General features: G+C 37.2%; 1 long non-coding RNA gene across 3 annotated transcripts; it reads right to left on the bottom strand.

The window, feature by feature from the left end:
* Nucleotides 1-1223: 1223 nt before the first annotated feature.
* Nucleotides 1224-27621, bottom strand: LOC105372041 (uncharacterized). Of its 3 annotated transcripts, none has more exons than NR_188024.1 (4): nucleotides 27404-27621; nucleotides 17767-17917; nucleotides 6402-6422; nucleotides 1224-1628 (listed from the first exon to the last, which is right to left on the bottom strand). It is a non-coding gene; the product is annotated as an uncharacterized LOC105372041 (long non-coding RNA). The 3 variants fall into 3 exon arrangements; NR_188026.1 differs by lacking the exon at nucleotides 6402-6422 and adding an exon at nucleotides 6296-6369; NR_188025.1 differs by lacking the exon at nucleotides 6402-6422.
* Nucleotides 27622-27880: the final 259 nt, after the last annotated feature.

Below are 27880 nucleotides of genomic sequence, written 5' to 3'. Positions count from 1 at the left end.
TGAGGCTTCTCAAGGAGTACAAACCAATGGTTTCTTTCCCAAGAAGTTTTTGGGGAAGGTGAAAAGGTCAAATGTGGAATTTCAGAGATAATTAAATGCACTTAAAATACAAATGTTTACCTGGAAGGGACAGGTTAAGTCTGTTTTTACCCTGTGCCTAAACCAGTTTTTTTACCTGAGGCCTATGTGATAAATTAAGAGACCTGTGCAGATTCCTAAAATTCCAATATTTAAACAAGAAGAAGAGAACACACAGCAGAATCTGTAGAACTTTCACAAAATCTACCCCACCCCATCCTCAACTACAAGCTAATTTAATCCCAGAGAAGGTAAATAGGAGGATTAAATCTAACGATACATATAAAAGTGCTTTGGCAATTACAGAGTAGTATATAAGTAGAAGTTATTCAGACACTTTTGACTGGAAAAGAGAAACTGTTTTCAATACTTAATTACATTTCCCGCTGTATTTCTAAAAGTAAGCCATCTTGCAATTTTATATTAAGAAATAGTGAATGATTGTATTGGCATACAGGCAGTAGCATAGAAATTATGTTCCTATTCAGTGGACCTCCAATCAAGCAAAACAAATCGACAAATTAAAAACACTAGGGATGAACGTTGTGTCAGTGAAGCCCTTGGCACATGTTTTTCTTCATTATTTTTCTTTGCCTTACGTGGGGCTGCTTCTAGAGTTTATTTTCAAAGGTAAAAAAAAAATGATAAAGGAAGCAAAGCTAACAAGGCAGATGGCTTGTCAAATTAGAAACAGGAAGCTTTTCCAAAAACAGAATAAAGAATGTGGAGACTTAAGAGAGCTAAATGTTCATTGTGGGCCTGTGGTGCAGTGCCTTCGGATGTAAAAATATGGCATCACCATAGTTCAGCCTTTAATTGTTCTTCCTTCTTAGTGGGTGGGAGTGTTCATTGTGCATCTTCCTATACTCTTAAGGAATTCTGGGCTTTTGCCCGTAATATCTCTCTGATTTTTCTGGAAGATGAACTCTTTAGCAGGTGAACACAGCTTACACAGTAACTCACAGCTATGCCAAGGGCATGAGGCAGGCCCAGCTCTGCACAGCATTGCTGCAAGACAGTGGAAAATAGATCTGGGTTCGAAAATCACCAATTTGTACAATAAATGGGTATTTCTATGGCAAAATTAATTAACTTATTTTAGGATCAGTTTTCTAATCAATAAAAAATAATAAAGACAATAAAACTACCTTGCTAAGTTTTATTCAGAATTGAACATTATCAGGATTTGTTACTTACATACAATTTAATAGCTACCTCTATTGAGTCCTACATACCTTCCATTAAGTACTTTGTATGTAGTTCTCATTTAGTACCCCCAGACAACCCTATCCCATAGGAAATATTATCTCTTTTCAAAACAGAAGCACTGGAGCTCTGCGAAGTTCGTGCTTAGGTTCTTATAGCTAAAAAGTACAAGAGTCAGTGGGAGGGGCTCGTGTAATTCAGAGCCTGCTTGCTAATTACTATCGTATATAGCTAGTCCAAGGCCATAGGAAAGAAAAACTCATTTTTGTATCTTCAGTCCTTGTGTGATGGAGAAATAAAAAAGTTGTCTCCATGGTCTTCTGCAATGCCAAAATTGTTGACACCTAGAAAAGAAAAATGATGATTCCTTTAAGCAACAGGAGATAAAGGAATAAAAGAAAGGAACAAGATTAAATGAAAGAACATCTTGGCTACTCTTATGAACTAAATGTTTGTGTCATTCCAAAATTGAGTTGAAATTCTAATTCCTATTATGATGGTATTGGAAGGTAATGCCTTTGGAAGGTAATTCGGTCATGATGGTGGAGCCTCATGAATGGTATTGGGGCCCTTATAAGAAGGAGCAAGAGAGAAATGATCTCTCTTTGCCATATGAGGATACAAGATCATCGCCTTTAAACTAGAAAGAGAGCCCTCACCAGAAACTGGATCTGCTGATGCCTTGATCTTAGACTTCCCAGCTTCCAGAACTGTGAAAAATAAATGTTGTTTAAGCCACCCAGTCTATGGCCTTCTGTTTTAGCAGTCCGAATTGACTAAGATTGGCTAAGTGTTTTAAGATGAGGGAAAATGTCCCTTAATTTATCAATCCTGCATTTTAAACAGGACCAGTCTTTTTAAATAGATATCTAAATTATAAAATATGCTAGATGTTTACAAGAACTAAAAAAAAGCTGCAAATTTTGCCTTTTAAAATCTGAAATTGTAGACACTGGTGCTTCTAGAGAAACTTTGTTATTCAGACTGAGAAGGATGAACCACATGAAGAATGACTAGAGATGAAAGATGATGTTAGATGAGTTTCTGTTCTCTTCGGTAACTTTTCCATCTCCTTCACCTCCAGCACCCTGGGGTGAAGGATATCCAGCACCCTGGGGTGAAGGATAAGCAAGAAGCTGACAGCATTGCCAAGTTTGGGAACATGGAGTCAGATTTTCTTTCCATTGTATTCATCATCTGATGCTATTTCTTTTTTACTATCTGTCTCCACCTCCCTTTTTGGGAGCCTCTGGCTTTTACCTCTTCTATCTTTCTCCTCTCTTTGATGTTGTTTCTCTGCCAGCCCTTTGAGTACCATCTTCTTTTTTCTATTTCCCTTTCTCTGTTATCCTTTAGTGTATTCTTTCTCTATATAGACGTCATTAAAAACATAGTCTTTATCTCAAGAAACTGTTTCAATAATAAAATATAACTCTGTATTTGTTAGTTTTTGTCCTTTGAGAATCAGATATCAAGAATTAAACATGCAAATGACCTATTATGGAAGATACCAGGGAGAGAAAATGGAGAGGGATACCGGGGAGACCTGGAAAGCCATTAGACCGCGGTGGCGGAGGTCTCATCCTGAGAGGAGAGACGGGGGTGAGGATGCTCCAGGTGGAAGCCCCTAGCCTGCCGTGTAGTTCAAAGGGAAGTTCCCTAGGGGGAGGTCTTGAGCCAAAGTCATCGTCAAAGGAGTTCTACATGTATCAGGAATGGGCCTGCTTTAGCATCCCTGATGCGATCAGGCACAGGCTGGGTGCAGCCGGTGGAAGCCATAGCCTCAGTCAGAATGTGGAGATAAACTTCAGAATACAGAAGTGAAAGCCATCAGAAAATTATGCTCTGTGATTTGTGAAATGCATTCTCATGGCCACCATATTCTTCTTAGAGATAAAGTCTGAGAGTGTGTGTGTGTGTGTGTGTGTGTGTGTGTGTGTGTGTGTGTAAAAATTATCCCTCCATTTTATTGACGTAGACCTTACTTTTTGAAAAAGGATTTGAAACATGTAAATAAAATACCTCTGTGGGCTATTTACCAAATTAGAGACCTGCTCTGAGAATTGCTATCAGATCCACTTTTGCTAAGTTGGTAAAAGTTAAACATATTTTCAGCAGGAAAATAGTTATTTAACAAGCTATGGTGAGACATTTGTGCATATTCCAATAAATGTCAGCAGCCATCACTGCCGCTCTTATATTTTTATCTAAAAAGACATTTATCTGATTGACAAATTTCTTTTAAAATATGTATTAGTACAATTAACTTAGGAGCCAGAAAACACAATAGTTGGTAAAAGTTGTCTTTTATGTGAATGTTGGTCTTATATAGCTTTATAAAATCGACTAAGAGAAAAAAGCAAAAACTGAGAAATGTGTTTAGTCTTATGAATTTTGAACTAGTCCAGTTAGGATTAAATGTAAAATTTAATAGCTGTTACTGGATATAAAACTCAACTAAAATAAATGTATTCTATGTACTATACTTTCTAAAGACATTAGGTAAATGGATATAAAAGAGTCATGATAATCAGGAAGCCAGAATTATATGTTCCAATCCTCATCCGCTATTGAATAATGCTATATCTTGTCATATGTTCAATGGAGGTAGCATATTTAGCAAGAATATAATGAAGAATACAGCAAAATGCAGAAAGGAGAGGGGAAAACTGAGGAGCAGACTAGTTTAAAGATACTATTACAGGCAGGCACGGTGGCTTACGCCTGTAATCCCAGCACTTTGGGAGGCTGAGACAGGTGGATCACCTGAAGTCAGGAGTTCAAGACCAGCCTGGCCAACATGGCAAAACCCCATCTCTACTAAAAGATACAAAAACTAGCTGGGCATGGTGGCAGGTGCCTGTAATCCCAGCTACTCAGGAGGCTGAGGCAGAAAAAATTGCTTGAACCTGGAAGGCAGAGGTTGCAGTGAGCCAAGATCATGCCACTGCACTCCAGCCTGGGCAACAAAGCAAGACTCCGTCTCAAAAAAAAAAAAAAAAAAAAAAAAGATACTGTTGCAATATTGATTTCTAGAAAATTTTGATTGATTTTTGATGACATCCCAGGTTTTGGCCCTTCTGAGTTCCCAATCACATGATATTCTCAATATGGTTTCGTGATTTTGTCTATGCACACCTGTTATTTCAGTAAAAACCAAGCAGAAGTAGAGAGGATTAATCAGAAGGAAGGAATGGACTTTAGGCGGAATATAGTAAGGATTGAGATGTGGTTTTCTGCCATATTTGAAGACAATCAGACAGGACAGACAGGGCTGTATAATTAGTAAAAGCAATGGTGATATTGAACTTTTGAGAGTGATAAGCTCTATTAGAGTTCTCAAGAGAACACAACCAATAGGATGCATGTGTGTGGGGGTACAAGTGTGTGTGTGTGTATGTATGTATGTACACATACATATATATGTAGAAAGTGTGTGTGTGTTTGTGTGTGTGTGTATACACAGATGTTCTTTGACTTATAATGGGGTAATATCCTGATAAACCCATCATAAGACAAAAACGCATTTAATACACCTAACTTAACAGACATCATATCTTAGCCTAGCCTACCTTAAATGTGCTCAAAACACTTCCATTAACCTGAAGTTGGGCAAAACTAACACAAAACCTATCATATAATAAAGTGTTGAATATCTTATATAATTTATTGAATACTGTACTGAAAGTGAAAAACAGAATGGTCCTATGGGTATTCAAAGCATAGTTTCTACTGAATTCGTATGTCTTTTGTATCATTGTAAAGTCAAAAAATCATAAGTCAAATCATTGTAAGTCAGGAATCATCTTTGTGTATGGGAGCGTGTATAAAAATATTTATTATAAAACATTGGCTCACATTACTATGGAGGCCAGCAAGTCTGGAATCTGCAGGATGTAGGATGGCAGGCTAGAGACTCAGGAGAGCTGATGCTGATATTCCAGTTCGAGTCTGAGGCCATCTGCTATAGAATCAGGAATTGCTGATGTTGCCGACGAAGGCTGAAGGCAGTCTGCTGAATTCTCTCTTGCTCAAGGGAAGCTAATCTTTTTGTTTGATTCAGGCCTTTGGCTGATTGGATGAGGCCCACCACATTACAGAGGGTTTTCTGCTTTACTCAAAGTCCATCAACTTAAATGTTAATCTCACCCAGAAACATCCCACAGAAACACCCAAATAATGTTTGATCTTTTCAAATATCTGGGCAACCCATGGCCTAGCCATGTCAACACATAAAATTAGCCATTATACAAGCCTTCCAAATTTCCCAGCTCTGGCCGCAGGAATAATTAACTAGGTGATGTATGGCACACTCTGATGCTATGTAACAGTGAAAATACGTCAGAGAAGTTGGGTCAGGTACCTCATAAAAAGCTTTTGGAGACATATGCTCTCTTCTTAAGCTTAACTTCTTGCTGAAATTTAAAGGGCATTTTTCTATAGGCCTTTCTATTATGCAATATTTTATTGAGGTATAGCATACATGCAGTACACTACACAAATCTTAGGTGATAATTGAATATTTATATTCATGTAACCACCATCTAAAGCAATATATAGATCATTTTAAACACTCCAGAAGACTTCTTCCTTTCTCTTTTCAGTTCGTATACCCCAGAGAAAAACACAACTCTGATTTCTATCACTGAGGATTAGTTTTGCTTTTTCCTGAATGTAAGAGAAATCATACAAAGTTTTCTCCATTAATGTCTGGTTTCCTTCATGTGGTCTGAAACTATAACAGAACTGTGATTACCTCCATGTGTGATATAACAAATTAGTTTGTCATAGTTTTATATACCTGTGCTGACAAAAGAAAACAAAGCTCTATGTAAGAGACACAGACTGTTTATTACTTATAGGAAAAGAGTAGCCAAAGCAGCATCTCAGCAGCAGTTTCCTGTTCTCCAATCCCCACAAGCTGATGCAGTGACAGCCAGATGCTTACCTACATATGCAATGGGCTTGCATCACAAGGGAGGAACCCCAAATTATGAGACTTGCAACTTACATATACTGGCTGGCACACCTGTCACTCTCCTTCCCAGAGAGAAAGGCTTTTACTCTGCAATTTAAACATATCTTCTGGGAAAGAAGAAGAAGATAAGATTACTAACCTGTAATGTGAACAAATGTATCTGAAAGAGAGGAAAGAGACTTTATTAATTTGCATGTCTCTATGGGTTTGTATCTTTAGGGAGACGCCATCTCTAGCTTCTAGGGCATGTTTGCCAAAACATCTCCTTTACTCAGAATGCCTAGGTCATGCATACACCCTGAGATATCCAAGGACAATTGTCTCCCAACCGCATTATTTTTTCTTAAGATTAACACATGTGTTTGTATATAGCAGTCATTTATTCTTTTCTTACTGGTGCCTACTACTATTGAAGTCTATTTATTTAGAAATTAGTTGTTGAGTACCTTCCATGTGCTCAGACATGATATTTGGCACTGAGGCTACAATAATAAAAAGATTGATGTGCCTATATTTATGAGTCATGGCCTCTGGTGCAAATTTTAATATGTAAGTTCCATAGGTCTCTTAGTAGTCTATGTTTGGTGTTCAGGTAGCTCATGATTCTTTCAAAATTCTATGTAAAATTTTGTGCCATGTTATATACATTCTTCTGGAGAGAGGAGTGATTGCTTTTATCAAATATATAAAGATGTCTATAACTCAAAAGACTAGGCATTGGTGATGTGATAATTCCATCTCAGAGAGATCTCAACAGACTTTCTTTAGTCTTGCTTCCTCCACCTTATTCCAGACCCCAAGTGTGATGATTAATTTTATGTTTCAACTTGACTGAGTAAGGGATGCCTAGAGAGATGGTAAGACATTATTTCTAAATATGTTTATGCAAAGAGATTAGCATTTGAATCATAGCCAGAGTCAAGAAGATCCACCCTCACCAATGTGTGCAGGCATCATCCAATCCACTGAGGACCTGAGCATAAAGAGGAGGAATGGTGAATTCTCTCTCTCTCTTCTTGAACTTGAACATCCATCTTCTCCTGCCCTTGGACATGGGAGCTCCTAGTTCTGGCGCCTTCAGAGTCTGGGACTTATACCAGCAGTTCCCCCACCCCTTTCTTAGGCTTTCAGAGTGGGATTGAATTGCATCGCCAGCTTTCTGGTTTTCTAACTTGCAGACAGCAGATGCTAGGATTTCTCATCCCCCACAATTTCTGGTGAGCCAATTCTCTATCTGTCTGTCTATCTATCTATCTATCTATCTATCTATCTATCTATCTATATCTTATTTGTTCTGTTTCTCTGGAAAACCCTGAGTAATACACCAAGCCTATAGTTTCCTTTCAGTGTCCCCATTGTCTACCTTCTACCTTGAGCAGTAGAATTTCCCAAGAAAATATGAAAAGAATAATTGAAAAAGGAGGTGGTTAAAAGTGGTCACTAAACAGCATGCCAAATAAATAATTTCACAATGTTTCTGACTCCTTTTTATTATTTTTTTCTTCTTTTTCCCTTGGACTCTGTTGCTAGGAAAATCTGGCTTCTTTTTAGTGTCTTAAGAAACACTAACACAAACACTCAAGACTAATAAACAGTAATAAAAAAACACTCGAGGCCTACATTAGCACTGTAATGTTGCCAAGACTTAATCCAGAAAAAAACCCTATTGTCACAAAATGCTCAGAACTGCCCTCCTTAGCAGGACACATTTATAGCAAATCTTCCTAAACTCAATACTCACCTGCCTGTGTTCAATTTCTTCCCACCTAGCATTAAAAATAAATGTAACAAATGGACTCTCTTCGTCACTTGAATTTTTGCCTTTTTGGAATATTTGCATTTTAACAGGGGTATGTGTGAAAAATAAGTCTTTGCTCGAGGGAATGTATTACTAATGTTAAAATGTTAGACATTTGTTATAGTCTAGTTGAAGAGGGATTTAAAGATGAGTGAGTTTTTCTGTCACGCTGTCACATAGCAGTGCTCAAATCATATCCTGTCATTGTCTCCTTATGTAGGCCTTTATAAAATCCTCTTTCCTTGTTGAAAATGTTGCTTTTGGGAACAAAATGGCTGTATAGTCACAATATGATGTAGTAGAAAGAGCACCTAACTAGACCTCAAAGAACTAGCCCAAATCATGGATCTGCCAATCAGTCCAGCATGACATAGCTCATGTCAATTAATCTCCTAGAGATCCAGTCTGATTATTGGTAATACTGAGATAATTAGGCTTGTGATAAAACCTTATTAACTGAAATGTGTTTTGCAAACAGGTATTGTCAATGCCACCATTATACCACAATCACCCCATGTGACTTTATCTGGACTTTATCTACTAGTGATAAAGATAATTCTTAAAAGCTTAGAATTACAATGCTTTCAAAATAAAAATATCAAAATGTGGTCCCATTGGACTTTGGGTAATAGTTGAAAGGTTGAAGGAAAGCGGGGAGAAAAAGAAGAGTTGAGGACAAGAGATTCTGCTGACTTGTCAATGTGCCATAGTTATTTTCGCTGGAAGAAATGTTATAGTTACAGGTACCTCTGCGGCATAGAACTCATAAGTATAAAGTTTTGGTGCTGCTATAAATCAAGAGCATGTTGCATACCAATTTAGAGATCACTTCGAGTGTCTCCTCATTAGTCAATGGGATGAGAAAGATCAACCATTCAGTCACCAAGATATATGGAGTGACTTAATAATGCTGGTCTTCTAGGCACATTGGTTAGAGCAACTTGGTGGAATGATGAGTGTGTTTCACATCATAATCTATATGCTAATAAATTTTAGAGTGTTAAAAGAAAGCAAACACGTTCACTGCTTGTAGAAAGCAGGACACAATATTTCATGGACAGCATTAACATTGAACAATTCATGAGCTGTTGGAATCCTATTGTTTCCAAATTTATAGTAACACCTGTTAAAAGGTGGAAAACAATAGAGAAAAGTAATTAATCATATTCTTTGGCTTAGAATATTGCCAGTTAAGTCAATTGCTGTTGTAGTCACGTCTTTGTCTAGAAGAACTGTGGTTTTAACTTACTTCATAGGTTTTCAGCTGAGAATTTTTCTCAGTGAAGAATGTCTCCTATATTTCTAGATGATAATGAAAATAGTAGCATGTCAGCTACTCTTTAGAAAGACAGAACAAATACAGAATCCAAAAGTGGCATACTTAATGGAAGGAATTGGAAAGACAATATTCTTGCACTTGGAAAGACAAGAGACATAGGGATAGGGAAGAACATAACTAACCTGTTCCTTTCTTTTCCCTCCCATTTCTACCAAATCATGTATAATTTGGAAAAAAAAAGAGATGTGCCATTTTTATGCTTAATACTCCATCATATATGAGCAGCAAACAATTAGAGAACATAATAAATGCCTTTTGGTACTTGAGGAACAAAAATGGAAGTATAGAGTTCAATGTTTCCAAAAACACTAAACTGTAACTTTATGTTTTCTTGTCATGATCACGTCAGTTTTTGGCTCCAAAGGTGATCTAGTTTATTATTCCTCCAACCTAACATTCTTCCAGTTAGGTTTGAAACTCTGACGTGTCAACATCACAAGAACAGACGAAGTATTTATTAAATAATACAAGGGCCAACAGAAGACCATTACTCAGTGATATACTACTTTGAAAAGAACTAGAAAATTAATATGCTCTTAGATATGACCCAAGAGATGTTCTACTGAGATATATGAAAAGCTGTAGCTGGTGGGCTTTGTAACCCTCCCTTCATACCTGCAACCCATAAAGTTGACTTATAGAGTTTTAAGTAATGTTGATAACACACGTTATTTTTTTCTTGGCCTCTCAGATAAGTCTCATAAGAGAAGAAGTAAAAAGTATCATGGCTCATACAATAGTTTACTAAAATTCCAAAAGAATGCAATAGCACTGTTCTATTCTGTAAATGCTAACTGCATTTTGTTTGTGAGGGAATTTGGAAAGACTTGCCTGGGATTCAAATTGAGCTTCCTCTTCTAGCCTCTACTACTGTGCATAAAACTTGAAGAGTTGGAGGCCATGTTCACCAGCCCAGAAGATATACGTACACTTGGGATTTTTGAGGTATGTTGTAATCAGGTCAGGTTTCTGAGTGTTCTTGGTTGGGAGAATCTAGTTTGTAGGTTTACAAAACGTATAGAACAAGTTCTGTTTTAGTATTCGGAGGTTTCCTGTGAGCCCAACATTTTATGGGATGCTATTTCCAAAAAAAATTAATATTTAATGTAATTTTAAAAATTCTTTGCTTCTTGTAATATTATTCAGATACATAACTTCTAGAGCATTTGCTCTTAACTTCTGATCCTCTCCTCTATAAGTCATATATATAGAAACATAGAAATGTAAAAGTTTCATAGACCCTCTGAAACTTATTCTTGGTTCAACAGATCCATGGTCTCCAAGTTAAAAACCTTTGCTCTGGAAAAACTGGAGTTGTATCTGCTTAAATGTATTAGTGTCATTTCCTAGGTAGTGCAGGGACTTGGTAAGCACTTCTTAAAACCTTTTGAAGAAAATAGCAGATAGAATATTTTCTATTCTCTGCCCTAAAATCACGTTTACTATACCACTCAGAGTCCCAATAAGGTCATAAGTTGTCACTTCAAACATTCTTTCCTTTCATTGCTTGACTACAAGGAAGAAGAGTCAGGAGAGTAAAGTTCCTATTTCAGCATTTCACGAATCTGATCATTACATGACCTCAGAAAGTTACATTACGGTCTTCTCCCTTGTATTTTGTTTGTGACACTGGGTTAGCTAATAAAGGGGACTCAATGAATTTTAAATGGTTTTGTAAAAGAGAGACAAATATTTTGTTTGCTGTTTTTAAATTTTTATTCAACTCTCCCTCCCTCTCTCTTTCTCTTGGCACACAAAAGGTTGTTGGACATTACAAAAATTCTGTAATACAGTAATGAAACACTTTGCTCATGAGAGGCGAATAAATGCTTAGTAATTCCACTAAAACAAATAGAATCACATGAGTTTTATAACATGGTTTTAGCTTCAAATATCACATCAAAATTCATCTGCCTGCCCAGCCTCATCTGTCATAATTTTACTTGCCTTGTTACTTTGTCATTGAATTAGTCTGGTTTTAAATCAAATGAAAAACAATTTTTTAAGATGAGAACTATAAAGAAAGGTTGTGTAACTCAGTTTTTCCTGACTAAAAAATTTATATACAAATTCACCTCTGTAAATGAAAAGCTACAGAAGTAATAATTTTCATCCCTGATTGACTCTAATATTTTTGTCATTAATATGAGAAACAGCCAAACTAGACAAAAGAAAGGAAGGACATTTTATTTTCACAGTGAAACTTGGGCACAATATTAAGATGTTCTTGGACTATATGTATGCCAAAGTTTGGTCTTTTATTCAATAACTTACAAACTAAGTGTTTTAAAAATTTGTCTTAAGGAAAATATTAAATATATACAAATGTAGACAGAATAGTATGATTCTGTGACCAGCCTCTAAACTGATTTTGAACTCACTGATTGAGTTATGATATTTCAGAAAGAGTAGTTACTGCTTTATTTCCTTTCCATTCACATTTCTTCTCCTACGTTATTAGAATTGAAGCTAAGTAAATGCCTTTTTGTGTAAAATTAATAGTTGCTTGTTTAGAAAAAGCCAAGCAGTTCAAAAAGTATAAAGAAAACATGTTCTTTAAACCATACGAATTTTCACCACCTCCACATTACTCTAGTTATTATTTGCTGAGCACCATTTCCTACACCTCCTTACAGAGAGATCAGTAGGAAATGGAGCAAAAAGTATTATCCAAAACAGCATGGTACTGGTGCAAAAGCAGACACATAGACCAATGGAACAAGATAGAGATCTCAAAAATAATGCCACACACCTATAACCACCTGATCTTCTACAAACTTGACAATAACAAACAATAAGGAAAGGACTCTGTTCAATAAATGATGCTGAGATAACTGGCTATCCATACAGGGAAGACTGAAACTAGGCCCATTCTTTTCACCATATAGAAAAATTAATTCAAGATTGATTAATGACTTAAACGTAAAACTGAAAACTATCAAAACTCTAGAAGAAAACCTAGGAAACACCATTCAGGATATCAGCCTTGGCAAAAATTTATGACTAAGTCCCGAAAAGCAATTGCAACAAAAACAGAAATTGGTCGGGCACGGTGGCTCACGCCTGTAATCCCACCACTTTGGGAAGCAGAGGCGGGCAGATCACGAGGTCAGGAGATCGAGACCATCCTGGCTAACACGGTGAAACTCCATCTCTACTAAAAACACAAAAAAATTAGCCAGGCGTGGTGGTGGGCGCCTATAGACCTTGCTACTCGGGAGGCTGAGGCAGGAGAATGGCGTGAACCCAGGAGGCAGAGCTTGCAGTGAGCCGAGATTGCTCCACTGTACTCCAGCCTGGGCGACAGAGCGAGACTCTGACTCAAAAACAACAACAACAACAAAAAAAAAACAGAAATTGACAAATGAGATCTAATTAAACTAAAGAGCTTCTGCAAAGCAAAAGAAACTATCAAGAGTAAACAGACAACCTACAGAATGAGAGAAAATTTTTACAAACTATATATACAACAAAGGTCCAATATCCAGAATCTATAAGGAACTTAAATCAGCAAGCAAAAAACAAATAACCCGTTAAAAATGGGCAAAGGATGTGAACAGACACTTTTCAAAACAAGACATACATGTGACCCACAAATATATGAAAAATTCTCATCACTATTAATTATTAGAGAAATGTACATAAAAGCCACAATGAGATACCATTTAACCCCAGTAAGAATGGCTATTATTAAGTTGCTGGTGAGATACTGGCAAGGTAACAGAGATGATGAAACACTTATGCATGGCTGGTGGGAATGTAAATTAGTTCAGCCACTGTGGAAAGCAGTATAATTTCTCAAAGAACATAAAACAAAACTACCATTCGACCCAGCAATCCCGTTACTGGTTATATACATAAATCAGTCTACCAAAAAGACACTTGCACTTGTATGTTCATCACAATGCTATTCACAATAGCAAACACATGAAATCAACTAAGATGCCCATCAACATGGACTGGATAAAGAAAATGTGGTATATACACACCATGGAATACTATGCAGCCATAAAGATAATGAAATCATGTCCTTTGCAGCAACATGGGTGCAGCTGGAGGCCATTATCCTAAACAAACTCATGCAGGAACAGAAAACCGAAAACCACATATTCTCACTTATAAGTGGGAGATAAACAAGAATACACATAAAGATGAGAATAATAGATCCCCCTACTGCTTGAGTGTAGGGGGTGGGAGGAAACATGGGTTTGAAGATTACCTTTCAGGTACTATGCTCACTACTTTGGTAATGGAATCATTCATCCATCAAGCCTCAGTGACATGCAATTTACCCATGTAACAAACCTGCACATATACTCCAGAACCTAAAATGAAAAAAATTATGTAAAGTATTATCATACTATATTTGCTGTTTAAAATAAAAATTGTGGAATTCAAATAAAGAAAAAGAAACTAAGTAAAACCGAAATAATGGTTTCTTCAAGAGTTATTCAATCCCTTAAAAATCTTTACATTTTAATATAAAAGGATTTATACAAAATTACTTTTCTGTTTTAAATTGTATCTATTTTTATTTTTGATTTGAAACCATAATTTGGTGCTTAAATTGATTCACTATTTACAGCCAGTCTTTTTACCATGTCTTCTCCATATGTAAGTTTTTGGTTTTTATTTTGAGACAGGGTCTCACTCAGTCACCCAGGCTGGAAAGCAGTGATGCGACAATGGCTCACTGCAGCCTTGAACTCCTGGGTTCAACCCATCCTCCAGCCTCAGCCTTTTAAGTAGCTAGGACTAAAGGCACACACCACCATGCCTGGCTAATTAAAAAAAAAAAAATTGTAAGAACAGAGTCTCGTCATGTTGCCCATGCTGGTCTCAAACTCCTGGGCTCAAGCTGTCCTGCCTTGGCCTACCAAAGTGCTGGAATTACAGGTGTGAGCCACCATGTCTGGCTCATAATTGAGTTTTTATTATGCTTTATCTCTTGTCTGACTGGTATCCATTCTACTAAAGAGTGCTTTGGTCCCTAAGTTGTTAACAAAGTTGCTGACTTCATGGAAATGTCTCTTGTGTTTTGTTTGAAGAGAAGATGGCATAAACTACTGGGCCACTCATTCAGGACTTTTCAGATATTGTCTGCTGTCTTCAGGAATTGAATGTTGCCTTAAAGACATCTGTAGCCAACCGAATTTTCCCATTTGTACACTATTTGCCTTTCTTGTCTCATGCTCATTGTCTTAGTCAGTTTATGCTGCTGTAGCAAAAATACCACACAATGGTTGACTTAAACAGCAGAGATTTATTTCTCACCATCTGGAGTATAAAAAGTCCAAGATTATGACACCAGTGGATCCTGGTGGGTATCTAGTGAGGGCACATTTCCTGGTTGTTGATGGTCTTCTTACCTCTGTACCTTCTCATGAGGGAGAGCAGAGAGAGATAAAGGAAGTGCCCACTTGTGTGTCCTCTCCCCGGCCCCTTGTCTTTTTATAAGGGTACTAATCCCATTCATAGGGCTCCAGCTCCATGACCTAATTACTTCCCAAAAGACCCACCTCCTAATACCATCACATTGGGGATTAGGATTTCAGCGTGTACATTTCAGAAGGGACACATTCAGTCCATAGCATTCATGTTATGTTTTTCTGCATTGTTGAAGTCCAGTTTCACAAAATGTCTCAGATGATTCTGTGTCAATTTTTCAGGGTGCACTTTCAATTTGCAGATTTGAGTTTGTTCTCATTTCTGTGACATTTCACCTGTGATATTGCTTTATAATTTTAATTGCTCCATTTTTTCCATACTCTTCTTCAGAGACACCAGTTACGTATAGACAGGATCTCTTTTTCTTTCATACATATCAACTTCCAAGCAATCATTGTTGTTTCCATGGATCATTTTTTTTTCCTAATATGACTTTTATCTTTATCATGGTTTAGTTTTCTCTTATATTTCCTCTGGATCATGCCAAACCATTTTTTTCTTCATCCTTTGTCTTATAATTTCTTCTTTGAAATCTTACATCTACCCTGAGATCTTTTCAGAGATCTTTTCAGAGATCTTTTCATTGAAACCTAACAGGTTGAATGCTTCTGTGATACAGGAATATTTGTTGCAGTATTTGGTAGGTGTGCTTATAGTTTGAAGTTGTGAAAACTTCCTTGTTTCATTGGAGGTAAAAACCTTTTTTTCTCTATTAGTTCTCAGTAGGAGTGGCTTCCTTTCCCTGGGAGAGATCAAATGCTTAGAACAGACTGATTGTAGGAACTAAGAACACGGGATCATTTTTCCAATTCTTCCAACTACCTCTGCCCGAGAAAATTTGGGGTAGAAGAGGATAAAATCATTTGTCCTGATACCAGAGGTATGGCTACAGGATAAAACACAATAAATATGGTTATAAAGAGCTTTTTCTCTGCTCACACAAGAAGAGAAATAGAGTCAGGAGCTTGACCGTATGTCCAAAAGACCGGGCTGGTTTTGCTATGTTGCACTCTTTATAAAATAAACTTTTATTATAGAGTTAAAATATGAGCAACACACTTTGGAGGTTCTAGTTCTGTTCAAACTTTTATTAAAGGTAGCTAGAAACCTCGCCAGGTGTTTGCACCAGCAATAAGAATAAAGTTGTCTGGGCACGGTGGCTCACGCTTGTAATCCCAGCACTTTGGGAGGCCGAGGCAGGCAGATCACAAGGACAGGAGATTGAGACCCTCCTGGATAATATGGTGAAACCCTGTCTCCACTAAAAATAGAAAAATTAGCTGGGCATGGTGGCACGCGGCTGTAATCTCAGTCATTCAAGAGGCTGAGGCAGGAGAATCACTTGAACTAGGGAGTCGGAGGTTGCAGTGAGCCGAGATCATGCCACTGCAATTCAGTCTGGCGAGAGAGCGAGAATCTGTCTCAATAAATAAATAAATAAAGTCTAGCTGGAAACATTGACCAGATTATAAATTTCTCAAGGGACCATAGTTTATTTAAATAATAAGCTAACTTTGTATTTTCAGTACCTTACACAGTGTCTAGAAAATAGAAGGTGCTTAATACTAACAAGAATAATAAACAATATGGCTAATAGGTTATTATTCTTGTTACTGCAGACTGGTACCAGACGCTATGCCAATCACTTGATATGCATTATCACATTTTAATTCTCACACAAAATGAACAACTTATTTACTCCTCTTGATCTTCGTGATAAGGAAACTGAGCCTCAGAAAGGTAAATAACCAAAATTACACTACTGTTTAATAGATATAGCCAATATTGAACAAATGCTATCTTACTCTAGAGTGCATGTGTTTAACCACCATGAATGGAAAAAAGGAGGAAGGGAAGGACAGAAGACAGGAAGCTACAGTGAGAGTAATGATTGACATAAGCAAGGATTTTAAGGTTCTAAAGCATTATAGTATGAAAAGAAGAAAGGTTGATCTTGGAGCAGCAATGGGAAAGCACAGATTTGCTGTACAGACTCTGGCACTAGGGGGACAGGGAGCGTGAAGCACACACAAAAAAGTCAACACACAAAAACAGTTGATTAGAAACCAGTGCCAGCCTGCCAGTGGTGAGCAGGTAATTATGGACATACGCAGAGTAGACAATGATATGGGGAGAATATTTGCCTTTAAATTTTTCAGTGTTTTTCTTAATCCCTGCCTTCCTAACTACCATTGGCTTTCCTTATCTTTTCTTTTCTTTTAAATATGTAAATAGGGACAGATCGAATGACTGATTGATTGATTGACAGTTTTATCAAGATACAATTGATATACGAAAAACTGCACATATTTTATATATATAATGTGATGAGTTTGGACATATGAATACAACCGTTTCCATTAACACAATCAAGCTAATAAATGAATCCATCACCTCCAAAAGTTTTCTCATGCCCCTGGGTTATTTTTGTTGTTGTTATTGTTGGGGTTTTTTCTTTACAGTAAATATATTTAACATGGGATCTATCCTCTGAACAAAATTTTTAAGGCCATGATGCAGTATGGTGAAGTATACTTCAAGATTGTTCAGCAAACCTCTAGAACTTATTCATCTTGGATATCTGAAACTTTACACCTCTTGAGCAATTCTCCATCTTTCCCTCCCATCAGCCCCTGGCACATATCATTCTACTTTCTGCTTCTATGAGTTGAATTATTTTAGCTCACATGAAATGAGATACACACATACAATGGGTTGTTATGTGGCCTTAATAAGAAAGGAATTCCTGTCATATATGACAACATGGATGAATCTGGAAGACATGCTAGTGAAACAAGTCAGTCACAGAAGGACCAATCATTTTCTTGAACACTTGGAGAAAGTGTAAACATGGGAATAATAAAACAGTACTCCATATGGACCAAAATAACTCTTGGAAACTCAGTCACCTTGACTCACCAAGAATAATTAGCTGCAGCAGGCCCGAAGTTGGTGGGATGCAAGTTTGATGAGAAGGAAGATCAACGACCCCATAGTCCGTTCCTCAGTTAATTTTCTGTATAGCTTTAAATTGGGATACACATGTACAAGTGTGTATCTGTATATGTATCTGCAAAACCACAAAATACTCAGTCTACACTAGGAAAACATAAGCCAACAATGCTTAATATCCTCTAGCTTCAGTGCTAATATTACTTACAAAAAGGAGGTATTCTGTGGGTCTGGACAGTGAGATCCCAGCTAAAGGGAAATAAGTTCAATGAGTCAAAGGAGTGTGCTCCAGGTCTGGCTTTTCTTTCCTCGGTAGAAATGAGTGATGTGACCTTTCTTGGCTTCAATAGCTCACTATTTGGGGACAGTTCTATTTGCCCTATCTGTGTTTGCTCCACTGAGTCTAAAACCTATATAAAAGAAATCACATTGCAGTCACTCCTCAGAGTCCAGATGCACCGGACTATTGCATTAAGCAACTGAAGAATCTTCCAAGTTCCAGATCTTCTGAGTTCCAGATTCTCCTTCTCATGTCTCCTGCTGTGAGGCTGGCCCTGCTCAGACCTTACTTGCTGTGCTTTCTAGTTCTAGTCTGCCTCTACCACAATTCCACTGTCTATTTTCATGTAATATAATTTGATTCTTGGGAGACAAGACCTGAGGTAGCTCCTTGACACTCATAGCTAGTTAACACCTCTGTATTCTGCATATCAGAAGGTGCTCTTATTTCCAATTCTTCAGGATCTTCTTAAAGGATCGATTTCTTTATTTTTCTCATTCCTGTGTTTATTCTTGTATATATAGGCTCATTCCAACTACCATAATAACAACTTGTCACACCTTTCCTTTTTTATGTCAGGCAGAAATTATCTCTTAACCCATACCACCACCACATACCCACCCCCTATATTTTCTTTTGCAAGCATCTGTATTCATACTGAGCTTACATAAGATAGATTTTTTGGCAATCAAAGCCCAAAAGGCATATTTATACATCAAGTGATTTATCAATGAAATATACACTATTACTCCTAATTATTACTACTTCCATGTCCCAGTGACAATGCCAATATTTATCTGAGCTCATGACTTACAGTTTAAACTGTTTTATCTTTCACCAGATCCTGTTCCCTGACCCATATATGATCAGCAAAAGTACATAATTCTTAATTGATTCTCAAATGCAGCCAGCCTGAGATGAAAGAATAACAGGCATAGATGTCTCCTAAATAAATAGGGACTTTAGATTTAAAGAGGAAAAAATGTAGTATGACTTATTGAAAGTAAAGGAAGTTTTGAAAATGGATATTCCAAGAGGTATTGAAATGAAAATCCACAAAATCTTTGATCTATCAAGCCTTCCTCTAGCAATAAGTTCTTTAGAAATACTTGTGTGATTGCACAAGTAACAGCATATATAAGCAAGGGTATTAATTGGAGCTTTATGTTAGTGACATTTGAAGGTAACAAATACCCATCCTTTGGAGAATAATCAAATCAACAGGATATACCTAAAGAAAGGGCATGTATAAAGTAGATCTCCATGTACATGTAAAAGTGATCCATGAAGCAATGTTGAAATTTTTTCAAAGCAAGTTTCAAACACTGAGTAGAGACATAATCCCATTTTTTATAATTCATGCTTCATACCCAGGAAGGTGCCTATGGTTTTAAATTATTCAATAGGGATGTAGATGTTTTATAAATGTAAAAGATTCTTAAAATTCATTGTAGGCTTAATGGTTTGAGCATTTCAACTGTCAAGGTACATGCTCAGATTCTGAAGGTTACTCTTGAAAATGTTAATGGTAGTTATTCCAGGAAAGAGGGAGATTGGAGAAGGATGGTAAGGAGACACGATTTTTATTTTTAAAACTAGTATTTAATTAATAAGGAATACTATGCAAAATGTATAGTAATTTATTTAATTAATAAATGTATTTAATTAATAAGGAATACTATACAAAAAACAACAACAACAACAATCTCTGAACAGTGCTAGCTACACTATCTCTTCCATTGAGGAGCCAGGCAATGTATTTTCTCTTATCTCTTCCCACCTTTCAGACTTTTTTTCCTTCCTTGACTGTGAAAATATACATTAAAAGGCACATACATAGCATATAGGTTAGGTGTTATTGGAATGAAGTTTGAATTCTAATTAAAGTTAGGTGTTTGACAAATTACAGGAGGAATAATGTATTTGAGTTCTTTGTAGTTGCTGTTCATATGTTGAATGACGATGCGTAGGTCATGCGAAACCACCAGACTTATGATAGCAATGACTTAGACTCAAGCTTTGGCCCCAGAAGAGGTGATGTTATCCATTTCAGTTAGTGTGTATCCACATGGTTTAACAACCCCATGTAAAATCATTTCTATGAAGAGCAGCTGTTCCTTCCTATCTGCCTTTCCCCTGTTGTCCCTAAAAATGTTTTCATATATGCTTTGGTCCCTGTGCTTTGATATCATCGATGATGGACAAAGGTGTCTTGCAAATATGAAAGACTATTTTCAAAAAGTTATTTTAAGGCTTAATATTTTGAACATGATTTAAACTTGTAGATGCTTAGTATTTTCAGTGGCTTAATGTAATAAAACCCACCTGTTATTTTTGGCTGCTTTATTTAGACCATCTGCTCCACAAAAAAATGAAAAGCTCAACAGTGGATGGAGAATTGTCTACTCCTCATGTGTGAATAACTTATTTATTCTCTCTATCCAAGCCTCCAGGTCATTGCAAAACTGTTTATTCATTTTCCAACAAAAGGGAAAGCCAATATTTGGCATTTGGCTTTATTAAAAATCATCACAGGGAATTATATTTTTTGATATTTCATAGTTTCCTATTTTTCTCTATGTTAGAAAAGCTTGCCAGTTGCATTTATTTTAAGGACCCTGATTCTTTGTTCTTTCTGTGGCAGGTTGGGTATCAGCTGGAGAGGTATTTTTGGTGATGGTTAACCCAATCATGCATCATTCATATTTCAGGTAGTTATGTGAGCATCACATAGTCTTGTTCCTAAATTAAGATGGAGTTTCCACTAGAGATGAGAATTACAAAGGTCAAATACTTTGGTCACCAACTACTTTCATTTGAATGAAATGGCTTTGCAATCCTATCCTAATCTCTTGGCACCTTAGGACACAGAGGATCACCTCTTAGTTTACTGGTTTATGATCATGACATTGTTCTTGCCAGGGTTCATTCTTACACCTTTGATCATCTCTAACAATAATAACAACAACAATAGTAACAGCTAGTTTTTACCGAGTGATTACATACTAAAGACACCACTTATGTACTGCTCATCTTTTTATGTAGTGCTTCTCTTTTTTTTCTCATCTTAAGTTTTCTCTAAATCTTATGCACCTTTTCTTCTTTTCCTTATTTAGTTATTTCCTCAACACAGTTGTGGACCTTACTTCTGATTCAAACTGCCGCCTCTTTTTAGATGGTGGTTAACTTCACTTCTAGCCACTGAACTTCAACCTGATTTCCAGTTTCTTGTTTCTAGCTCCCTGTGGCATGATTTAGGATTACCTAAGAGAAACAAGGCCTAATGTTTTTTGAATGCCTACTAGTGTTGGGCATTTTATGTGTTAGTTTGTTTAATCCTCACATAAACAACTTTGTTCTCCTTTTAGATTTGGGAAAATTTAAGTATAAATAATTTAATAATTTTCCTGAGATCACTGTTGGTTGTTAAGAAGCAAGCTTGGATTCAAACTCAAGTACAATTCTAAACTCCATAACTTTTACAGCATTTCACATACATTTCAAACATAACACTTTCTTCACATCATTGACTAACTACACTTTCTAAGCATTTCAGGATATCATCCATGCATTGCAAGATATTCTTTTTAATGTATCTCTGTTTATCTCGTCTCCACCCACCTCATTTGACCCTCATCCAAGTCTTCAGTAACCTCACCCTTAGGTCATCCCAGTGACCTCTCTCCTTACTCTTCATTTCCAACTTTTCCTGCACAAAACTACCCAATCCATTTTCCTGAGGCTCTGTTTTCCTACAGTCATTTCTAGAACCTAGAATATCACCCATAATCTACCCATCAAAGCCAAATTATAGATTCAGAATTTTTCTTCAACTTGCTCTAAGCTACTTGTCCAAAGTGTTTGCTATTTTCTTAATTCACTTCACTCACAGCAATTGTTTTACTGGGTTCTTCACACTCTGCTCTTTGCCACTCCTTTCCTACTTCCAGGAATCCTTTCCTTCTCTTTTTGGCCAATCCAATCTTACTCTGGTTCAAAGCTTCCAGTGACTTTTTTCTTCCGAGAAAGTCATTTTGCTTGTCTACAGCCCACTGGGATCTCTTCTCCTCTGACCTCCTGCAGCGTTTGCAGATGCACCATGCGTTTATCTGTTGCCTTATTTTTGCCTTTCATCATTCGAATGTCCTGGTATTAAAAATAAACTTTTGAGGACAGAGGTCCTTTGTGCTACTCTTTAGAGCTTGGCATATAGAAGGCACTTGTGGTGTCCTCAATACACTATGACTGACATGAACTGGGTACTTAGAAGGGACCATCATCCTGCCACACAGAGCCCACAGCCTCCCTGAAAATCTTGACTATAACCTGCTTGTCCCACAGGTGGATGAGACACCCCATCTTTGATATTATATATGCCAAATAGGAAACAACAAACGCTGTTTATTTAGCTCTTACCTAGGTTTCATATCTAATACAGTCATGTACGAAAAATGAATTGGACTTACATGCTACCATTCTTCAGAATCTTCATATAATAACTGAAAATGTAATGCCTATTGTTTGCAGTCATGGGGGAGAGAGAACGCTATGAGATGAACAGTAGTGTATCACTAGGTTTCTTATGTGTAGTCACAATTCTCTCTTCTTACCAAAGGGCATGCTTACAAAGTAGTATTTGAAGGATATCTAAAGTCCTCTCTGTCTCTGAAATGGGATCTCTTATGAAATAGGCTGGAAAGATTCTAAAGAGCAGAAAAGGTATGATTTACTCAAGTTCTTCTTGGGCTGAACCCAATACTTGAACTATTTTCAAGATAGTGCCCACTGCAGAGATGTTTATTGTACCCTGATGAAGATGGATAATGTGACAATAAATAAGGTAAATGGCTGGAAACCCAGAGTTCAGACATCCTGATGGCTCTTGAATAGTAATCTGGGCAACTCAACTCAGTGTAATATGAGACAAAGATCAGGGCCTCTGATGAGATTCAGCTTCTCAGCGAGAGCACGCATGATATGTAGGAAGCACTGCTTTACCTTTCCAATATTTTAAAACACATTGTCATCATTAGTGGAAGGCCATTTAAAGGTCTATAGAATTCCAACAGAAAAATCAATGACTAGTATAGGATAATACTAAGGTCACATAAAAATGGACATTAAATGGTCAGATAATTCCCAGAGATTTGCTGTGTGATTTCCAATGGGGCATCTAATAGAAGAGTGATTAAGTAGAATTTTAAATGCTCAGCAATACCTCTGCTTTGTTTGCAAATTAAAATTAGAACTGGATTTTAAATAGAATTTTTAAAAAATTTTATTTATTCTTACTTACTTTTAGAGAAAGGGTCTTTCTCTGCCACCCAGGCTGGCGTGCACTGGCGTGATCATAGTTCACTATAACCTCGAACTCCTGAGCTCAAGTGATCCTCTCACCCCAGCCTCCTGAATAGCTGGAGGTGAGAGGACACATGCCTGTAGACCCTGCCTGTAGACCCAGATATTTAGGAGGCTGAGGTGAGAGGATCACTTGAGCTCAAGAGTTCGAGGTTATCATGAACTATGATCATGCCAGTGCACGCCAACCTGGGTGACAGAGCAAGACCCTTTCTCTAAAAGTAAATAAAAAAATATAAAATTTTTAAAAATAAAGCTGAATCTACACTTTGGTATGCCAAAACATAACCTAAATTGTATGATGATGTAGAAACACAGTGATACAAAATACACCTGAAAACAAATGGCAAAAATTATCACTTTTGGTATTTTATTTTATTTAATCCGCTGACCAATTCTGTGACATAGATATTTGTATCCTCATTTTACAGATAAGTATATTAAGCCTTGGAAAGATTAAATAACTTGCTCAAGGTAAAAATTACAAAGAGGTAGAGCTAGGACTCAGAGCTAATTCACTTCCCTCACTTCGCTATTTGAAGTTTTGAGAAATCCTGGAGTAAATAAATCCATTTCACATTGTTTAGACCAAGGTTTTCCATACTCATTTAACCAAAAAAATCTTGTCTTTCATAGAATAGCTTCTAAAAGCTCAGGTCACTAATGTTCTGTAGCACATACTTTGGAGAATTCTACACTGGGAAGATGAGTAGTTTGGGATATCACATCTCACTACATTGAAAGGAACTGTCTGAGTAGTTGATTACAATTCAGTGTGTGGTCAAGCATGAACACACAAGTCAAACTGCATGCCTTGGTGTGACAGTTTAAAAGAGGATCAAATCTAGTTTAGCTTCTAAATCAGAAGTGCACAGAGCTATTTGGCCAAAAGTAACCCTTAGGAACTATCAACCAAGTCAACAAATCAGTTGTTGGTCTCATTTGAGATTCTGATCAAATCAAGCAAGAGAAATTGTGGGTGAAACCTTTCTTCTCCAAGGTTGCTCTAGGTTTAAGGCAGATGCAATCATTAACTTTTTCAACATTAAGTATTTGCAAAAACAGTCAATGGTACTGCACCTCCCCCGCTGGAAACCATAGCTCTGAATCATTTCTCCTGGAAAACCCAGATGACCTGGCTGACAGCTTCGTGTTTCTACTGAAACCTGTGAGTCAGGAGGCCAAGGAAGTTCCCTGTAAACAATTTCATGCAGCCATTTAGATGTGGTTACAATGAAACAGCTAGTTTTACATGGCCTCAACAATTAGCCATTATATTTCAAGCTTTTAAAATTAAAAAATGAGCGCTTCTTTTCCTACTTTTGGCTCCACTCCATTACTGCCCAGTGAGTAGGAGGAGAAGAATTGGGAAGAGGGGTAGAAATTAGGTAAGGTGTGATTAAGAATATTATTGCTATTTTAAAATAGTCATTTTATATTTCGACGCAATGACGCGACAAATGCCCTGCAAATCAAAATTTCCTTGATAAAAAAAAGTCAAATTAATCAAGATAACTTGACCACCCTTAGGGCAATGCCTAGGTCTTATCTGTTTTATGTTCCAAGAACCTAGCACAGTTCTTCACACTATATAAAATCAACATAAAAAAGAAAACACTGCCACAACCAATAAAATCAAACCCTAACCTTGAAAGCTGGCCATGGAAAAAGACTTTCCATCTGAAGGAGGAAATAGACTCTTCTATCCCCAGCTCTAATCCTCTGACTACACCTTTCCCTTGAGGACCCCTCATTTTTCCTGCCATTAACACTTTCCTGGCCTGTGGGGACATTTCTTCTTTATCATCCAGTATATCTTTTTGTAGCAAAATTGAAAAGAGGCTACATATTTAAATAAGACTTTTATTTAAAGCCTATTGATAAGAAAATGGAGAGACCCAGAGATGAATGTATAACTAGATACAAATCATTTTCATTTGGGGAATACTTTAAGATACATTCTGCTTAGTTCTTAACCTGCTTCTATATTATAAAAGTCATCTTTCTTCACTATGACAAACGAAAAACCTCAATTTCTACATTCCTTAAGACCTAAGGAAAAAAAAAATAAAATTCTCTTTCTTAACTAGTACCTGCTTGACCCTGTTTATTTTTTTATAGCTGTTGGAAATATTACTTCATTTCCCAAAGACCTAGAAGAGTACACCATACACAGCAAGTACTCAGTCCGGGGGCTGGCTGATTCAGAAAATCCTTGGGTTAAACCACAAAAACCTGAAGGCAGCAACTTAGCTGAAAACAATGAATTCAAGCTGGAGTTTGATTTTGTGGAATGCTGGCTCCTGGTCAGCCTGCAGCAAGGGTGTCTACCTAAGTATTTCCACCTCCTGGTAACTAGTTTCTATCCACTTTCCTAAGAAGCTCCCTACCTGCAGGTTGGCAGATTCTGAATGTGAGGATGTTTTCACAACATTTAATACTCCTGGGGGTCATTTGCAAAGGTGATTTGACAGAAAATGTCAATTAACAATTTATGGGAAGATCTCTTTCCTGTAATTGATCCTTTTAAGGAAATACTTTGCTTCAGGTTATAGTTTCCATAGCTAACTTACAAGAGTATCATGTTTTTACAAAAAGTCAACATAATAATAGTAGAGATGAACTCTTTTATATGACTAATTCTTTCCACATATTAAAAAGACTGTTTTGAAGTAATTCCTGCCCTTTGAGCTGTGACTTTTCAATTCTTTATAAAATTAACATTTAAAAATATATACAGACAATTGAGAATTTTTTCTATAATGAGAATGCACACATATATGTATGCATATAATACATATGTGGAATTAATGTCAAGAACCAGTATAGTAGGTGGTGACAAAGCTATTTGCCAAAATTTGTTCCATACCGTAACTTCCTTTTTAGAATATTTATATGTTTGATGTGTTTAATTAAAGATAGCCCTTTGAGATGCAAAAATATCTTTTCGCAAAATTCTGAGGATTTGGGGGATCAAAGGAGCGCAGTTTTTTGGATGGAAAAGCGAGGTTTCTTCAAGGAGGAGTCTCACTGACAAAGGGTAGTTAAGTAACTCTGCCAAGGTCAACGTCAACTTCAGTTACTGGTTACATATTTTACAGTAAACACTGACTGCCCAAGTTAACATTGCCCATGATGGTTAAATGGAGGCCCTCCATTATCCCCTCTCCTGGTTCATTTGGTAGAGGTAACGAGAGAAGGCTGTGCATGCACTCTGGTTCATTTCCCTTTCATCTCTCTCATGCCTTTTATTCCCTCTTTTAGTCTTATGTTTGAAAACTGAGAGTCTGTCAAAATCATATCTGTGAGCTGTTGCCACAAAGCCTCAAATTCCACCTTTCTGTTCCTGCTTCATTCATTTTTCTTTCACCCATTCAGGCTTTCAGGTAAGGAAGTTTCTTCCTGAGCTATACCCATGGGCCTATTCTTTTGTTTCTTAAACTCAGTACTACTCTTCATGTATTGATTTAGCCTGCATATAACACAAGCAACTTTAAAGTGGGTGCAAATGTTCTCAGGCCACCAAAGATCCACTCTCTGATCCTGCGCAGGTCTAGAGGACTTGCCAAGCCTTGACTGGTCATTTCTCTTTCCCAAATCCAATTCCCTCAGGCTAGAGCAGCTAGAAGACCTCCTTATTTGTATAGCCATCCCATGCTGAAGAGTTGTAAATCAGATGTTTCTTTAGAAGTTGCCTTGGATTCCCCAGCAGGAGTCTAGGATCACAGTGTTTCTGGTGTGTCTGCAGAGAAAGAGTCTCAGTGCTGAACAGGACGTGATAAACCCAGTTATTGCTGGAGAAGGTGGAAGAATGGATATTGGCTATGCTTCTCTCCCTTTTGGTAATTCCCAAGAGATATGTATGTCCCTGCAGCTTAGTATCTGACCAGGCTATATTTCAGGGATAACTAACAAATAATGCTCAACTTATTTTGAAGATGTCTTTCTTACTAATCACTGGCTTACCAGACAGCTGTTTAGTTTCTTTCTGTTGGTTTCTAGTCTCTTCTCTGAGTCAGGTCTCCTGGTGTCCTGGTGCAGAGACTGCAGGCCCCTGAAGTACACAGTCCTGCCCTATCCACTCCCTTCCTTTCTCTTTTGCTCCCTTTTTCTAGATAGAAATCTTATGTTTTCTCTGCGGATTCCTGGGTTCCAATCTGCCGTGGTAGTCTAGGGGTGAAGAGATCCTTCTACCACCATTCCAGTGGCACTATGACACTGTTGCTAAGCACTAGTGATTCTGTTTGCAGGCTGATGTTTACTGGGGAGGACCTTCATGCCACAGGCTCACTACAATGAACACTTCAACCTAACTGCTGGCTCTTTTGGGGCTACCTTTAACAAAGGCATTTTCTCAGCCCAAAATGTTACCATGGTCACTGGAATGGAGGTTGATAGAACTATATATAGTTCCAATCTCTATGGCTATGGGTTCAAGTCAAA

The sequence above is a fragment of the Homo sapiens genome, chromosome 18 (assembly GCF_000001405.40).
Source record: "Homo sapiens chromosome 18, GRCh38.p14 Primary Assembly".
NCBI lineage: Eukaryota > Metazoa > Chordata > Mammalia > Primates > Hominidae > Homo > Homo sapiens.
Note: the sequence above shows the minus strand (reverse complement) of the source record. Positions and strands in the feature narration are given on the sequence as shown.